General features: G+C 47.4%; 1 protein-coding gene across 4 annotated transcripts in view, besides 3 other annotated features; it reads right to left on the bottom strand.

The window, feature by feature from the left end:
* The window catches only part of ZNRF1 (zinc and ring finger 1), a 111,971-nt gene extending 102,030 nt beyond the window's left edge, over window positions 1–9,941 (bottom strand). For 3 of the 4 annotated variants that reach the window (NM_032268.5, XM_017023793.2, XM_011523392.2), the window contains exon 1: window positions 8,870–9,941. In NM_032268.5, the coding sequence (NP_115644.1) occupies window positions 8,870–9,293 (424 nt within the window). In that variant the 5' untranslated portion in view covers window positions 9,294–9,941. Of the gene's footprint in view, window positions 1–1,886; window positions 6,723–8,869 lie in introns of those variants that run through there. The other variant, XM_017023794.2, reaches the window with a different exon arrangement.
* Window positions 8,070–8,129: an enhancer, noted in NCBI's record as "active region_11113". NCBI's record gives its function as "activates an Ori minimal core promoter by ATAC-STARR-seq in GM12878 lymphoblastoid cells {active_cell/tissue: GM12878}" and the evidence as "EXISTENCE:reporter gene assay evidence [ECO:0000049][PMID:35858748]".
* Window positions 8,920–9,229: a silencer, noted in NCBI's record as "silent region_7706". NCBI's record gives its function as "represses an Ori minimal core promoter by ATAC-STARR-seq in GM12878 lymphoblastoid cells {active_cell/tissue: GM12878}" and the evidence as "EXISTENCE:reporter gene assay evidence [ECO:0000049][PMID:35858748]".
* Window positions 9,630–10,149: a silencer, noted in NCBI's record as "silent region_7705". NCBI's record gives its function as "represses an Ori minimal core promoter by ATAC-STARR-seq in GM12878 lymphoblastoid cells {active_cell/tissue: GM12878}" and the evidence as "EXISTENCE:reporter gene assay evidence [ECO:0000049][PMID:35858748]".

The following is an 18,393-nucleotide window of genomic DNA, read 5'->3' as shown; positions in this document are numbered from 1 at the left end:
ACTGAGACATACGAGGAATTTCTTGGTAGGTACTTAGCTGGAATCACAAAGAAAAGATCACCTGCCCCAACCCAGAAATAGGGCTTTGGAAAAAAATGAGTGAAGAGAAGTATATCCTTGCAGCAGCCTTATGGACAAACACCTACATTTATTTGTTTATTCAACAGAGGAGCTGATGAAAAGGTAAAATCTCCCAGAAGCTAAAATATTCAGACTCTTAAGGAGTGAGGAAGCAAAGATTCTTGGAAAGAATAAGTTAATTGCTCTATAATAAATATATATATTCTCAGCACCTACCATAGGTCCTGGTATACCAGAGGCTATCAATGGAATAAATGAACGTTTTTGTTCAACAGATCATCACACACAAAGAAAAAAAAGTCTTATACTTTTGGGTCAGTCAGAGAAAAGGAAAAACAGGTCTTCCAACCTCTTTAAAGCCTAGATTCATCCTAAGCTCTTGACTTGTCTAGCTGCCTGGCTGAAGATGTAGGAAAGAGGGTAACTCAGGAAGCCCTTCTGTAGCACCAGAGCCAAAGAAGAAAAGTCAGGAGGAAGACAAGTGCAGAAGGAAAGGCGACACTGACACCATTACCTTCTGTTCAGAGCAACTTCAATTCTCAGACCAAGGCAGATTGGCTTGGCCCTATATGTAGGCAATAATGCTTAGTCCCATGTAAAAGAAAACCATCAAATAGCCAACAATGTTGTTCCTGGTTGAACCTACCTTCTGCGAGCTGTAGAGATTGCTTAGCAAATATCTGACTAGAAATACTGAAAATAAAGGCCAGGCACAGTGGCTTCACACTTATAATCCCAGTATTTTGGGAAGCTGAGGTGGAAGGCTCACTTGAGGCCAGGAGTTCAAGACCAGCCTGGGCAACATGGTGAGACCCCTTCTCTACCGAAAAAAGAAAAAAAAAGTAAAAAAATTATCTGGTCATGGTAGCATAGCATCTGTAGTCCCAGATACTCCAGAGGCTAAGGCTTGAGAATTGCTTGAGACCAGGAGTTCCAGGCTGCAGTGAGCGTGATCTTGCTATTGCACTCCAGCCCGGGCAACAGAAGAAAAACCTTTCTCTAAAGAAAAATAAGAAGAAAAAACAAATAAAAAGAAAGCTAATGAATACACCAAAAAAGGATTCAAAGTTTATTTCTCTGTTTGGGGAGAGAAAAACTAAATGCTTGGTGGAGTTTAGTTTCAGATGTAGAAGGTCTTCTTGTTTTCAGGTTCATTTGTTACAAACTTAGATTCTTGGGTCTCCAGCTCTACTGAATTCTGTGAGTGGGGTCCAGTCATCTGCATCGTTAACTACCTCCCTAGAGAATACTGAGCACCTTTAAGAACCCTTCTGAACCATTCACAGAAATCAGGAGAGCTCTTGTTTTTATCTGCCTCTTTCTTGTTACAGATCCAAGAGGTCACTATAAATTCTTATCATGCCTCCCCTAAGTTGGAATTCACAGGGATCCAGTGAATTATTCCTTCCTCCTTTCTCCCAACAGAGGAAAGCTGTGTGTTCAAGACTAACGACTCTAGGGAGGTCTCAAGGTAAACAGTCTCATCAGTCTAGAAACTATTTCAGCTGCTGCTTTAGGATTAAATTTGGGGTCTGGCATCGTCGCTGACACCTGTAATCCCAGCACTTTAGGAGGCTGAGGCAGGAGGATCGCTTGAGCCCAGGAGTTTAAGACCAGCCTGGGCAACAAATGGAGACCCCATCTACACAAAATTAAAAATTAGCCAGGCGTAGCGGCATCCGCCTGTAGTCCCAGCTACTCAGGAGGCTGAGGAAGGAGGATCGCTTGAGCCCTACAGGCTGAGGCTGCAGTGAGCCATGATCGTGCCACTGCACTCCAGCCTGAACAAAGCGAGACCCTGTCTTAAAAAAAAAAAAAAAAAAAGATTAAACTTGGTTATTTGCTTCACACTTCACACTTGAGGGCTGGTCTTCAGGTTATTCACTCATACCCACAACTCATCCTTCATCCATACAGCACATAAAGGACAGAAACCCAACTGCTGGATTCAAGGATAAACCTGTGTTCTAGTGAGAACCTAAGATTCAGAAGTGAAAACTGCTGGGTCTCTAAGAATCCCCTTCTCACACTCAAGACTGAACCCATGGTAATTACTATGAACCATCTGATTCAGACTAGGCCATGAGAAAGCTTGGAAAAGAAACAGACTGAAATTTATATTCACCCATCATCCTAAAAGACTGAGGTGGCCAGGCACGGTAGCTCATGCCTGTAATGCCAGCACTCTGGGAGGCCAAGGCAGGTGGATCACCCGAGGTCAGGAGTTCGAGACCAGCCTGGCCAACATGGTGAAACCCTGTCTCTACTAAAAATACAAAAACTAGTCAGGCGTGGTGGTGCATGCCTGTAATCCCAGCTACTTGGGAGGCTGGGGCAGGCCAATCACTTGAACCCGGGAAGTGGACGTTGCAGTGAGCTCAGATCATGCCACTGCACTCCAGCCTGGGTGACAGAGTGAGACTCTGTCTCAATAAACAAACAAACAAACAAACAAACTGACTGAGGTTAAGATTTAGGTTTTGGGCTAACTTCAAGATTCTAGAACCACAACCTTAGTGATCCACTGTCATTAAAAACACCCCTACCTAAGGATGAGTAGGAGCAGAATCAATATCCCATTTAAGTTACCACCACTTCCCTATGAAGTTTTTCTAATTTTGAAGCTGTCAAAATTGAAGCTTAGTTTTATAATTGGGTATACAGCAGTACCCCTTGTCCAAGGCTTCACTTTCCATAGTTTCAGTTACCCGTGGTCAATGGAGGTCTAAAATATTAAGATACCATGACGCACCACCCTACATGCATGGGTCAACAAGCAACTGCATACATGATGGTGGTCCCGTAAGACTATATCCTGTACCTTTTCTATGTTTAGACACACAAATACTTACAACTGTATTACAATTGCCAACAGTGTTCAATACAGTCACATGTTGCACAGGTTTGTAGCCTAGGAGCACTAGGAGCAACATATAATCTAGGTATGTAGCAGGCTATACCACCTAGGTCCGTGTATGTACACCCTATGATGTTTGCCCAGTGACAAAATCCCTTAATGACCCATTTCTCAGAAAGTATCCCTGTCATTAAGCAATGCATGACTGTACTTTCGAGACAGGGAGAGAGAGAGAGAGAACACATTCACATAACTTTTATCACAGTATATTGTTATAATTGTTCTATTATTAGTTACTGCTGTCGAGCTTTTATTGTGCCTAATTTATAAATAAAACTTTATCAAAGGTATGTATATACAGGAAAAGACATAGTAGATATAGGGTTCAGGTGAGGTACTATCCACGGTTTCAGGCATCCACTGTGGGTATTGGAACGAATCCCCTTTGGATAGGGAGTAACTACTATACTCAAATTTCTGTGCCCAATAAGCTTGGGGTGAATACCACATATGTAAAATACAAAGCATGTTCCTTTTCCCAAAAGGAACTAGAGCTTGCTTCATTTCTTTGGCTAAGAATGGCCTAAGTATTCCTTGTGACATGATATATTGAGGTGGGTCTTTGTTTAATATCAAAATGTAGTATCCCATAAAGCAAACGCTTTAAGAGCTAAGCCACTGTTTCTTACAACACCATTCAAACCTCAATAAGCAAGAGTTAACTATGACCTTCAAGAAATTATCTTTGCCTCGGGGTAACTTTTGTATTTTAAGAAAATAAGCCCTCATGGTAATAAAGAGCTAAAAATTCTGCTTTTTAATACAAGTTTTCATTAACAATAGAACTTTTGCAGGGCAGGAGACCCATCATGCTCTTTGGAGACCACAGAATGCTTTTCCTTCTCCAGAAACCATGTGAAGGCCCATTACTTCTAGCACACCTATGGCGGGACACAAAGGCTTTCTGATTCACTCCAAGGGAGCTGGCAATTCTCCCCCATTAGCTAACAATAAAAGAAAATTAAATCACTTGAGAACCCTACAGTGGCAGCAAAATAGAGCCCAAGAGATACCTCCTAGCATGTTCAAAGACTTATTAAAAGCCACGTTGGGCCAGGCGTGGTGGCTTATGCCTATAATCCCAATACCTTGGGAGGTTGAGGTGGGAGGATTGCTTAAAGCCCGGAGTTTGAGGCCAGCCTAGGCAACATAGTGAGACCTCATCTCTACAAAAGATTGTATAAAATTTAGCCAGGTGTAGTGGTGCGCACCTGAGTCCCAGCTACTCTGGAAGCTGAGATGGGAAGACGGCTTGAGCCCAAGAGTTTGAGGCTACAGTGAACCATGATTGCACCATGGCACTCCAGCCTGGGCAACAGAGCAAGACCCTGTCTCAAAAATAAATAAATAACAAAAACAAAACACAATCACCTTGTATCAGTCTCAGTTGATGGCTTGATGACAATAAAGAACAGTTTAGACTTTCTGAAAGTGCATACATATATATACACATATGACTAAGAAGGTGAAGTGAAGCCCTCAATGGCCAGCCCTTTTATAGTAGAACCTAGAAAACAGCAACTTCTTTCAACATGGTGGATGGTGCATGTTTTGTACCCCACATTTAGAAATCCATACTCTGAGACAAACAGAACTACCGAAAGAGAATGACCAGGCCTCCAGAATAGCACCGAGGCAGCCATCAGGAGTTATAGCAAAACTTTTTAACGTGGAAAGGGAGTCACTCTGCTTCTATAAAGCAGCCCTTATCAGCGGCATTATGAGTAAAAGCAGCCCACTAATGCAGGCCAGACTTTAGGACACAGAACCAGATTCCATTTGGGGGCTACAGCTAGCACAGCTGTAAACCTCTCTCCACCCATCAAATTCTGAGACCATTAGGCCTGGCACGGTGGCTCATGCCTGTGGTCCCAGCACTTTGGGAAGCCAAGCTGGGAGGATCAACTGAGCCCAGGAGTCTGAGACTGCAGTGAGCTATGATCTCGCCACTGCACTCCAGCCTGGGTGACAGAATAAGACCCTGTCTCAAAAGAAAAAAAAAAAAAATCTGAGGCGATTGAAGGCAGACAACTATAAGAGAGTGCCCCCATAGGAACTCCACCACTCTCCATTTAGAATGTCCTTTGACTTTTGTGCACATTATCTCATGAGACCCTCACTATGACTCTGAGAGGTAAGCAGGACAGGCGTCTTCTACATTTTACAGATGAATAAATTGTGACTGAGGTTAAATGACTCGCTTGCCCAAGGTCACAAATCATGCAGCTAATCAGCTGCCTAACCAGGAGATGAGCCTAGCACTCTGACTCGTAGGCCAGCGCAATCTCCAGGACACCATGCGGCTTTGTGATGTTTTCAGATAAGAGGCGGAAGAGGGTACTGGTTAAGAGCCCAGGTTCTGGCACCAGCCAACCTGCATTCCAATCCCATCTCCACCACCTACTAACCACCTGATCTTGTGTGAGTTCCTTAACCTCCCCAAACCTGTTTCCTTACCTGCACAATGGGGGTGGGAGAGAACAGTCTTACTCCATAGAGTCAGAGTGATGATTAAGTGAGATGATGAACATAAAGTACTCAAATTCATGTACTCAAAAAATGTGAGTGGCAGGCACAGTGCAGGACCCACAACAGAGATCAAGGAACACAGTCCTGCTCTCACGGAGCTTAGACTTTAGGCAAACCATACACAGAAAAAAGTAAACAGATAAAATACTTACAAAGTGTGTTAAGAATGATTAAGGTGCAGGGCGCAGTGGCTCACGCCTGTAATCCTATCACTTTGGGAGGCCGGGTCAGGCAGATCACCTGAGGTCGGGAGTTTGAGACCAGCCTGATAAACATGGAGAAATCCCGTCTCTACAAAAAACAAAATTAGCCCCAAGCTTATTGGGCATGGTGGCGCATGCCAGTAATCCCAGCTACTCGGGAGGCTGAGGCAGGAGAATTGCTTGAACCCGGGAGGCGGAGACTGCAGTGAGCAGAGGTCGCACCACTGCACTCCAGCCTGGGCAACAAGAGCGAAACTCTGTCTCAAAAAAAAGAATGATTAAGGTAACAGGTGAGTGACTGGAGAGAATAACCGGAGGGGCCAATTTTTAAGAGTGGTCTCTAAGCCCTAAGGGATCAGAAAGAGAAATTCGTGTGAAGAACGGAGAGAAAAGCACTCTAGGATTAGGGAATGGTATACGTGGGGGTCACAGCACAGGGAAGTCAGGAACCTAGAGAAGACAAATGTGACTACAGCGCTTCCTCTCCCGGGATTTGCGGAGCAAGGCTGGAGCTCGTGAGGGTGACCACAACTATTTTAAAAACGACAAAGATAAGGCTCAAGAGAGGGGATATGTCTTGCCCAAGGTCACAGCTGCTCAGAGGAGTAGCTGGGACCAGGGCCCTTCAGTATTCTACCTCCAGACCCAGCCTAAGCCCACGCTCTCTGAGAAGGCCTTGTATACACTGAACTCCCTCATGTATTTCACTGACAACTGTTTTCTGTGCCCATGAAGAGTTGCAAGAGCACCTTGAAAACACAAGCAAACATATCATATCAACTTCCAGGCATCTAATTAATTGTGCACCAAAATCGTTACCCTTCCAATCTTGCAACAGAAGAGCAAAAGCTGCTTAGACCTTACTCAAAGGCTCCAAAGCAGAAACAAGTTTTGCTTCTTGCAGCAATGTGTAACAGAGGAAACAGATGTCCTGGAAGATCCCATGGTCTGTTTCAGGTGAGATGGAACCAATGCTGCACACGAAGATTCATCTCAAATGAAATGCACAGGAAAAGCCAATTACTTTATGTGAATAAAAGAATAAATCCCTAAAGCAGTGGTTCTCAACCAGAGTGATACCACCCACACCCCAGAGGGCATTTGGGAATTCTTGGGGACATTTTGGGGTGACACACTGAACTGCTGGATGCTATCAGCATTTAGTAGGTATGCTCGATGTCTTGCAGAAGGACATGATGGTCCTACACAGTAAGGAATGGATTACCTACAATATTAATAGCAGCCTCCCATACACACTTTTGACACCCTTCCCTAAAGGATTAATATGCTCCAACCTTCCTGTCCCCACAGTTCAGTGGCTCTCCCTACCCTCACCATGATCGGATGAAAAAAAATAAGGTTTCACAGCTTAAGAGTGAAATTCTGGAATCCAACTACAAGCTCATAACTGTAGCATGGAACCTGGTAGTAGCATAATAAATAAATTTTTAGTAAGAGGCTTAAGAAATTTTAGCAAAAAAAGCACTCCCTTTCTTCCTCCCTACATATCTCATATGTTTTTCAACACAAAAAATTCTGTGATTTTAGAGAAACTTCTTACAGTACTTTTAAGTTCAAAACCAGATGCTCATTACAGTTCTTTTAAACACCAAACTAGTCATCTCAAAAATATGGCTAACTCTCTGGACTAAATTCCATAGGAAAAATTATTAATTTCAAAATGCCTAATTTTGATCAAATGCCTGAAAGAGCCAAAGGCAATCATGTCCTGCTTCTCACTCAGGGCAGAGTTCCATGAGGTCAGAAAAGCTCCAATGATATCCGGAGGTCTGTCAGAGATTAAAATATCATCCTAACAATTCACAAGCTACTTCTAAGTGTTACCCTAAATTAGTCACTAATCGTTTCTCCCCCAACACTATTTCACAAATTAAAGTTTACAGAATTGACAAAAAACCAAACCAAATGAAAACAAACCCCAGGCTATTTGCAGGGGGGGGGAAAGAGATACCCCAAAAGTCAACCCTATTTCACAGTAGTTAAAAGAGTGATCCAACAGATATTACCCTCCATAAAGTACCCTAAAGGCAGGAGCAATCTTTCCCCTACACTATCTAAATTTTCCCAACTCACCCAAAAGAATCTTAAGATGTAACTTCATCACTCAACTTGCCAATTAGCAAATAGCGGCCCCCACATCCCTTTTGGCCAATTTTCTAGATGCCTGACCTAGCAGACAGACCTGTTTTCCTCCTGCCAGGCCTTTTTTGCCCTCCCGCTAGGAGCCTGGGAAATCCCCCTCCAACCTTTTGCTGGCCTGTCACCAGAAGTTCATAAAATGAATTCATCCAGATTCTCTGAATCCTCCTTTTCCCCAGTCATGTGCCAACAGCCAGGCAATAATGCCCCACCGTGACAGGCTCCCTGTTACAAAAAGATGCAGATTCACGGGAAGACCAAGCACTTAGCATGGAGCAGAAGAAAAAAAGATGGAGGGAGGCGAGAGTCGCGGAGCCAAGCCTGCTGCATGCAGTACGGGTGACCACAGCCCGGGTCCTGCAAAGCCCCCGCGAGACTCGCCGGCTGGGCCCTCCGTACAGCAGCCACACCTGTCTATGCCAGCCGCCTGCCGGCTGCTCCATTTTAAACATTTCAAACAGATCTCCAGCAGGGTGGCAAAACTGGGCACCTCTCTCTCCCAGCAAGAGTGAGAGCCCTAATCCAGGCATCACTTGCCCCTGATTTTATTTCATTTTCACACACTCTGTTTAGGAGACACTGCTTGCTCCAACTGGCTCCATCTCTCCGTTACCGGTGAGGCAGGCACAGTGCTGCAGTGGCAGAATGGAAGTACCCAGGCTGACTTGCTCTCAGCCAGACACGACCTCTTCTCTGAGGAGGGTGATGCCAATAAATGGAACTCCAATAGGTAGGCTTCGCTCTGCCCTTCCACAAGTGAACACACGCCGTGAGTCCCTAAATCGCCAGGCTCCGCAGCCTCGCAGAAAGCCTAGTTTCCAGACGGTAGGTATCCCATTTATCCCTTGGCATCGGGAACCAAAGGGAATGCAGACAGATCCCGGTCGTGCACTACATTCCCAAACCTTGGCACGCACGCGAAGGCTTGGGGCGCCCCGGCGCGCCCTCCCTCCGAGGCCTCCACCACCCGCGGACTCACCACTATGCGAGCTGAACCACCTGGGTGCGATGTGCAGAGGTAGAGCATCCGCCAGCGAGGCTCGGGAGCCCAGGTACAGCATCCCGTCTCTATGGTGACCGCCGCCCGTCTCCTGGTAACCATTGCCATGGGCATAGGTGGAGTCGGACGCAGACCCTCCGCCGCCGGGCGCCCTCTCGGAGTCGCCGGTGCCCCGGGAGGCGGGGGTGTAGAGGCCAAAGGGCACCCCCCCGGCCGTGCTGGGGTCCATGCCCATGCCTGCCACCGAGCTGACCGAGCGGCTGCGCAGCCCCATGGCCCCGCCGCCCGTCCGGTAGTGCCCGAAATGGGGCGCCCCTCCCGGCGGCGGCACGGCGCTGTCATCGGTGGAGACCCCCGGGAAGGGGCCCCGGGAGCGGGCCGCCGTGCTCTGCTTGCCCCCCATGCTCGCCCGGGCCCCGGTGGGGCGGGAACCTGGAGGCCGAGACCCTCCCCCACTTCTCAGCAGCAGGGGGAGGGCTGGGCGAGCATAAAGGGGGAGGGAGTCAAAAAGGAGACCCGGAGGGAGAAAAGGAAAAAAAGCAAAAGGAAAAAAGGAAAAAACCCGCGGGGCGGAAGAGGCAGGCGGGCGGGCGGGGATCCCAAACTCAGAATTTCAAACGATCCAAGGCAAACGCATGTTTCCCCTCAAGGTCCAAAGAGGCGCAGTCCGGCGCGGGCTCCGCGCGCCACAGGCCGCCCCCGGGCTCCGAAAGCCGGGGGAGCCGCAGGGAAGGAGGGAGGGAGGCGGCGGCGAGCGGCGGGCGGGCGCGGGGAGGCGCCGGAGGAGGCCGCCCGCCCCGCGGGAGGAGGCGGAGGAGGGCCGGGGGCGCCGGGCGCGTCCCCCGCCTCAGGACGCCGCGACCATGGACGGCGGCCCGGACCCCTCCAGGCCTCGGGCGGGCCGCGGCGCTGGGCGGCCAGGCGCAGCTCGGGAAGCCGCGGTCGCGTCGCGTCGCGCTCTCGCTTCAGCCGCCGCCGGCCCCGCCAGCCGCGCCGCCCCGCTCGGTCCCGGGCTGCGCTCGCCGGCGCTCCTCGCCGCCGTGGAGACAATGGAGGGCGGCAGAGCGCAGGCGCGGCCCGCGCCCCCTCCCCCTCCCCCCGCCGGGTTAACCCTTTCGCGGTCCCTGCGGCGCCTGGGCCGCTGACGCCCCAGCAGTCCCCACCCACCGCCCGCCCCCGGCCGGCCTGTGACCTGGGCGGCCTGACCACTGGGCGTTAGCCACAGAAACCAGATGTCTTTCAAAAGCAAACACTTCTTAAGTCCCCGAAAGTGGCAAATTATTCAGGGGGAACCAAGTATGGGGGAGGGGCAGCAATGGTTCGAGGGGGTGGGAAGGAAACACCGGGAAGAAGGAGATTTACTCCTTACGCCTACCTGGCTCTGAGGGTCACCGGTCGAGCTCCCCTCCTGGCACAAATTTGCCCCCACAGCACCCTCTGGTGGACGTGATGTCCATTCTTTCGGGGGTTCCCCATCCAAGCACCCCTCACGTCCGGAATCTCAACATTTGGCGGGGTTTAGTTATTTGGGGGTAAACAGCGCCATGGGGACACTTGTGAATCCGGCGTTTTGCTGACACTAGATCATAACTTCCTATTTTGGGCTTAAGCAAATGAGTAGATTCCTTAGCTAAAATGTAATTTTCAGAATCAATAGATGTACCATAAAAAGTGAATAGATATGGGTATGGAAATAGAACAACGCAGCTAGAAGTGATTATAGAAACCTTCTGTCCAAGGCTGGAGCCCTGTTTTGTTTACCATGTGCTGTGTTTCGGCCCTCACCACGGGCCAAGGACACGGTGGGTACTCAATAGGTGTATTGTTGACCAAGCCTGAATCATTTGCAAGGGAGTGTTCCTTTGCTACCTCAAGCCGTCTTTCTCCTATATTCACATTCATTTATTGAACAACTGTTTTTTTTGTTTTGTTTTGTTTTTGTTTTTGAGACGTAATCTCGCCCTGTCACCCAGGCTGGAGTGGTGTGGCGTAACCTCGGCTCACCGCAACCTCCGCCTCCCGGATTCAAGTGATTCTCCTGCCTCAGCCTCCCGAGTAGCTGGGATTACAGGCACATGCCACACTGCACCTGGCTAATTTTTTGTATTTTTAGTAGAGGCGGGGTTTCACCGTATTGGCCAGGCTGGTCTTGAACTCCTGACCTCAGGTAATCCACCTGCCTTGGCCTCCCAAAGTGTTAGGATTACAGGCATGAGCCACCGCGCCCGCCCTGTTTTTCTTTTTCTTTTTTTTCTTTTCTTTTTTTTTTTTTTTGAGACGGAGCCTTGCTCCTCCCAGGCTGGACAACCTCCGCCTTCCAGGTTCAAGTGATTCTTCTGCCTCAGCCTCCCGAGTAAAAGTCTGTTAAAAATTTCAAAATCAGGCCGGGCACGGTGGCTCATGCTTGTAATTCCAGCACTGTGGGAGGCTGGGGGTGGGGGGGTGGGGGGAGATGGGGCAGGGGATCACCTGAGGTTAGGAGTTTGCAACCAGCCTGACCAACATGGTGAAACCTCATTTCTACTAAAAAAAAATGAAAATAAAAAATAAATAAATTAGCCAGGTGTGGTAGCTCACGCCTGTGATCCCAGCTACTTGGGTAGCTGAGGCAGGAGAATGGCTTGAACCCGCGAGACAGAGGTTGCAATGGGCTGAGATCGCGTCACTGCACTCCAGACTGGGCAACAGAACGAGACTGTCTCAAAATATACATATGATATATATATATGTGTATATACATACATATATAGTAGAGATGGGAGTTTCCCCATGTTGTCCAGGCCGGTACTCCTGGCCTCAAGCAGTCCTCCCACTTCGGCTTCACAAAGTGCTGGGATTACATCATGAGCCACTGTGACTGCTGAACAACTATTTATCAAGTGCTAGGTGCTGGCTGTGAGTATCACACAGTCCCTGGCTTAGCTGACTTCCACCTATTAAATGACCCCAGATACTTCTAAACTGGGGGACCAAAACAGGATGTTCAGAAATATTAAAAGAAAACCAAAAAGAGCAAGGCTAGCCCGTCACAGGTATTGATTGTTCCATTGTGGCCAGCCTGGAAACAGGAGGAAACCTATTTGCAAGCATGAAATACCTGGAGGTGAGCAAACAGCCCTGTAGAAGTAAGAATTTTTGCAAGAGAAGTAAAAATAGGAAGAAACAAAATGTGCCAACATCTAATAAATTATCTGTAGGTGCCTATATGAGTATGTGTATACCTAAAGAGGAAAAACAAGAAAGCTTAAATTTAATCCCATTTCCTCCTAGAAGAAAGACTATGGTATCAGAAGAGTGGTTCAGTACTATACTAAAAAAAAAAAAGGTATTAGACCCCGTGGAAGATCCCTATTAGAGAGATAAATACATGATACCCATTGTAACTATCCAAACAGCTTTTGATTTATCCATTCACTGAACAGTTTTTTAGTGTATTTAACACAATATTTAGTATGTAATAAATTCCAGGCACTGTAGTAGGTTCTGGGATACAGTACTGAACCAGAACCAGACAGATGGAGTCCCTGTTCTCATAGAACATCAGAAGAAACACTTCCCACCCACTTGAATGGCTATGATCAAAGAGAAGGGCAATAGTAAGTATTGATGAGAGGTGGAGAAATTGGAACCCTTGTACCTTGCTGGTGGAAATGTAAAATGGTGCAGCTGCTTTGGAAAACAGCCTGACAGTTCCTCAAAAAGATTAAATGTGGAGTTACATGACCCAGCAATTCTGCTCCTACCTAGGTAGAGTTCCAAGAGAAAGCAAAACATATGTCTGCAGAAAAATGTGTACGTAAATGTTCATAGCAGCATTATTCAAAAGAGCTAAAAAGTGGAAACAACCCAAATGCTCATCAACTGATGAAGAGGTAAACCAAATGTGGTGTATCTATACAATGAAATATTATTCAGCCATGAAAAGGAATAAAGTACTGATTCATATTACAACATGGATGAATCTTGTAAAAGCATATTAACTAAAAGAAGCCAGCCATAAAAGACTATGTATTGTATGATTTCACTTATATGAAATGTCCAGAATAGGCAAATCCATTGAGACAGATTGATTAGTGGTTGCCATGGCCTGGGGGGAGGGGAGAATGGAAAATGACTAATAATAGGTCTCTTTCTATTTTTTCTTTTTTTCCTTTTTTTTTTTTTTGAGACGGAGTCTTGCTCTGTTACCCAAGCTGGGGCACAGTGGCATGATCTCGGCTCACTGCAACCCCTACCTCCACCTCCCAGGTTCAAGTGATTCTTCTGCCTCAGCCTCCCAAGTAGCTGGGATTACAGGCATGCGCCACCATGCCACGCTAAATTTTTTTTTTTTTTAAGACGGTGTCTTGATCTGTTCTCACCCAGGCTGGAGTGCAGTGGTGCAATCTTCACTGCAACCTCCGCCTCCCGGGTTCAAGCGATTCTCCAGCCTCAGCCTCCTGAGTAGTTGGGATTACAGGCGCGCGCCACCACACCCGGCTAATTTTTGTATTTTTAGTAGAGATGGGGTTTCACCATGTTTGGTCAGGCTTGTATCAAATTCCTGACCTCGTGATTCATCCGCCTTGGCCTCCCAAAGTGCTGGGATTACAGGCATGAGCCACTGTGCCTGGCCACTAATTATTTTTTGAGACAAGTCTTGCTCTGTCGCCCAGGCTGGAGTGCATTGGCATGAACTTGGCTCACTGCAACCTCTACCTCATGGGTTCAAGTGATTCTCCTGCCTCAGCCTCCCTAGTAGCTCGGATAACAGGCACGTGGCATCATAACCAGCTAATTTTTGTATTTTTAGTAGAGACGGGGTTTCACCATGTTGGCCAGGCTGGTCTTGAACTCCTGACCTCAGATGATCCACCTGCCTCAGCCTCCCAGAGTGGCTGGGATTACAGGCTTGAGCCACTGCACCTAGCCTCTTTCTGTTATGTATTTATTTGTTATTTATTATTTTTTAATTGTGTGGTTACAAAGTGGTGTCTTTCTGTTTTATGCATTTACTTATTTAGAGACAGAGTCTCACTCTGTCACCCAGGCTGGAGTGCAGTGGTATGATCTCAGCTCACTGCAACCTCTGCCTCCGGGTTCAAACAATTCTCACGCCTCAGCCTCCTGAGTAGCTGGGATTACAGGTATGTGCCACCATGCCTAGCTAATTTTTTTTTTTCTTTTTTGTAGAGATGAGGTTTCACTATGTTGGCCAGGCTGGTCTTGAACTCCTGGCCTCAAGCGATCCACCCGCCTTGGCCTCTCAAAGTGCTGGGATTACAGCCATGAGCCACCACACCTGGCCTTGTTTTTTTAAATCACATTTTTTGGTAATTGAATGGATTTCTTTTTGAAGTGATGAAAATGTTTGGGAATTGGGTAATGGTGATGCTTGCACAGACTTGTGGATATACTAAGAACTGCTGAATTATACACTTAGAAGGGTGAATTTTATGGCATCTGAATTACACTAGCATACCATATAGATCAATAAGTATTGGTGGGGCGTGGTGGCTTAAGCCTGTAATCCCAGCACTTAGGTAGGCTGGGCGGGTGGATCACTTGAGGTCAGGAGTTCGAGACCAGCCTGGCCAACATGGTGAAACCCCCTCTCTACTAAAAATACAAAAATTAGCCAGGTTTGGTTGTGCAGGCATGTAATCTCAGCTACTCAGGAGGCGGAGGCAAGAGAATCGCTTGAACCAGAGAGGCAGAGGTTGCAGTGAGCCAAGAGCACACCACTGCACTCCTGCCTGGGCAGCAGAGTGAAACTCTGTCTTAAAAAAAAAAAAAAAAGTACTGAAGCAGGCAGTGACAATACAGTATGACAGGTAAGCCTAGAATGGTGCCTGACATGTACTAGGCACTCAATAAATATTGTTGAATTAATGAATGAATGAATGACTAAATGGTATGAGGGAGAAAGAGTATGGTGCTGAAAGAAAGGCAAGAGACAGGAATAGACCATTCCAAGCTGATGCCTGAAAGGTGAGTTGGAGATCAGCCAGGCAAGGAGGCAGGGCAGGGAAAAAAACTGTGTTTCAGGAAGAGAATACTGTTCCAGGCAAAGGGAACAGCCCAGATGTGAGAGAACATGGCATATTCAAGGAACTGAAAGAGGCTATAGTGCTGCAATGCAAGGGGGTGAGAGCCAAAGATGAATCTGTTCCTCAGGGGCAGGCAAGAGGGTCCTGTGAGCCATGGCAAGGAGCGTGGTCCCCATCCCAAGGGCATGGGGAGCTGGAAAGCCTTTATCAGCATCATGAGATGCTGTCTATCTAGCACCAGCATCATTGGTGCTATCATCAGCACCAATAGGAATGGCCTCCCAGCACTTTGGGAGGTCGAGGCAGACAGATTACTTGAGCCCAAGAGTTCAAGACCAGCTTGGGCAACAGCAAGACCCTGCTCTATAAACAATACGAAAATTAGCCAGGTGTGTTGGCACGTGCCTGTGGTCCCAGCTACTTGGGAGGCTGAGGTGGGAGGATCGCCCAAACCTAGGGAGATTGAGGCTGCAGAAAGCCGTTATCTCAAAAATAAAAAAAAGGAAAAAATAAATTTTGATAGATGATAGACAAAACATACTACATGCACATTAATGGTCATGCAGCTAGTAAGAGCAGAGCTGGGCTTTTTATTTTATTTTTTTGAGATGGAGTTTCGCTCTGTCGCCCAGGCTGGAGTGCAGGGGCACCATCTCAGCTCACTGCAAACTCCCCCTGCCGGGTTCACACCATTCTCCTACCTCAGCCTCCAGAGTAGCTAGGAGTACAGGCACCCGCCACCATGCCCAGCTAATTTTTTGTATTTTTAGTAGAGATGGGGTTTCACGTGTTAGCCAGGATGGTCTCGATCTCCTGACCTCGTGATCCGCCCGCCTCGGCCTCCCAAAGTGCTGGGATTACAGGCGTGAGCCACGACGCTGGGCCAGAGCTGGGCTCTTAAGTTTTACGGTGAACATGCTCATCAAAGAATTTTTTTTTTTTCTTGAGAACAGGGTCTTAACTCTGTCACCCAGCTCGAAGTGCAGTGGTGCAATCTGGGCTTACTGCAACCTCTGCCTCCCAGGCTAAAGGGATACTACCACCTCACCCTCCTGAGTAGCTGGGACCACACGTGCGTGCCACCGTGCCTGGCTAAGTTTTGTATTTTTTTAGAGACAGGGTTTCACCATGTTGCCCAGACTGGTCTTGAACTCCTGGGCTCAAGCAATCCTCCCGTCTCAGCCTCTCAAAGTGTTGGGATTACAGGTGTGAGCCACTGCACCCAGCAGAGGAATTCTTCCAATGACAATTTTGTTTTCTCTGTATACTTTCCAAAGGGGTGAAAAAGACTAGATCTACTTAACAGCTGTATTTCTTTTTGTGAATTAATTATTTGGCCTTAAGATTTACATTCTAGTGTGCTGATTATTATAAGTCACCTCTCTCATAGCTGGCACCACTGAACAGCTGAGATCTTGTACTGCAAAGGTGAAGCCCCTGCTCTGTGCAATGTGATTGCACTCAGCTTAGGTGCCCTGTGGGACCCCGAATGGTAGCCTATCTCAGAAAATGTCCTGTTATGGCTGGGCACAGCGGCTCATGCCTGACCAACATGGTGAAACCCTGTCTCTAGTAAAAATACAAAAATTAGCCAGGCATGGTGTCAGTTGCCTGTAATCCCAGCTACTCGGGAGGCTGAGGCGGGAGAATCGCTTGAACCCGGGAGGCAGAGGTTGCCGTGAGCGGAGATCGCGCTACTGCACCCCAGCCTGGGCAACAAAGGGCGACTCTGTCTCAAAAAAAAAAAAGAAAAGAAAATGTCCTGTTATCTTGTTTTGTACTAACAATAAACCACTGATCCACTTACCACAACAGTCAGGAGGAAGAGCTGATAAAATTTTTGCTGCCAAAGCCCTTTGGAAATGCGAGTGCATATCTATTCTATTATAGAAAGCCTGGGACTTTCACTATTCAGAAAATAGGGGAAAGGGCTTGTGAGGGCCTACTCCTGAGAAGCAGTGGGGAACTCCCGTCCACCTCCCTGTTTCTGTGAGCCAGAGGAAGGCGAGGGTTTCCCATGGCTTTGGAGGGCATCCCCAGCACCCCTATCACCCCACTGGGGGTGGACAAATGCCTTTTAGTGAGAAACTTCCTCCCAGGCCCTCTCGGAGCTCTTTAAATTTTATTGTTTTGCTTGAAAGGAGACAGCTTAGAGAAATCAGGATAATGAGTAACCAAATACACATGGCCGGGAGGCTGAGCACAGGACCATGTTCATAAATATTTGTTGATTGATGAAGAGAGGGAAATTATTACTGGGACTCAGGGCCAGGGTCCAAGGTTCCCAGATGTAAATGAACTGAGTAGTCAGCTAGCTCCAAATTCTGCAGAAGAGCAAACAGAAGACTAGAAAGATAAAGGATCATGTTCAAATTGCATGGCTAGTTGCTGATAAGAGCCCAGCCCAGGCCCTGGATTTCTGGGTTTGCTGTGTACCCTGCTTTCCTGCCGCTTGGCTAGCAAGTGTCCTGAAAAAACACAGTTTCATGATAAATCCTCTGTGGCAAAGTGGGATCTACTTGACAAAGGACCCTCAGTGGTCCCCAGCCTCTGATTCAGATGCAAAATCCTAAGTCCCCCAAGTTACAGAATGGACCACCCTCCCCCAGGCCAAGGGGACTCCAGAGAAACCTGAAAAACTGAATTTCTGGCCATCGTGGGAAAGAAGGTCATTATACCCCCCACCTTTTCGAGTTTAGGCACAACTGATCAGCGTTAAGGTTGAAATAGAGATCATAAGACTGACAGAACAGACGCTTTGTGGCAATAAGATACCGAATTCCAACCTGACTCTGGTATAGCATCATATAACAGACAGCAGACCCTGAAGGAAATAAAAGTATTTTACCCCAAAATATATTTCTTTGGCGTAGTTTGAAATGGCTCTTCAAAGCACTCTGTTGTGGGGGAAATTTTGCATCGTAGAGAACGCAGCTGAGACTTTCCTGCATTTAAGAGAGATTAAGAGGCCGAGCGTGGTGGCTCACACCTGCAATCCCAGTACTTTGGGAGGCCAGCGGGGCGGGAGGATCGCTTGAGCCCAAGAGTTAGAGATCAGCCTAGGCAACATAGTGAAACCCCATCCTAATTTTTTTTTTGAGACAAGGTCTTGCTCTGTCACCCAAGCTGGAATGCAGCAGCGCCATCTTGGCTCACTGCTCTGCCTCCCGGGTTCAAGCAATTCTCCTGCCTCAGCCTCTGGAGTAGCTGGGACTGCAGGCATGTGCCACCACGCCCGGCTAAATTTTTTTTGTATTTTTATTAGAGATGTGGCTTCACCATGTGGTCTGGAACTCCTGACCTCAAATGATCCACCTGCCTTGGCCTCCCAAAGTGCTGAGATTACAGGCGTGAGCCACCTTGCCTGGCCTTAATTTTTTTTTTTTAAAGAGATAAACTGATATTGACACCTTTTAAGGCCCTGAGAAATTTACTGCCTATTCTCTCTGAAGGCTGATGCCTGTGAAACTTTGT

This window comes from Homo sapiens, chromosome 16, assembly GCF_000001405.40.
Source record: "Homo sapiens chromosome 16, GRCh38.p14 Primary Assembly".
NCBI classification, from domain to species: Eukaryota; Metazoa; Chordata; class Mammalia; order Primates; family Hominidae; genus Homo; species Homo sapiens.
Note: the sequence above shows the minus strand (reverse complement) of the source record. Positions and strands in the feature narration are given on the sequence as shown.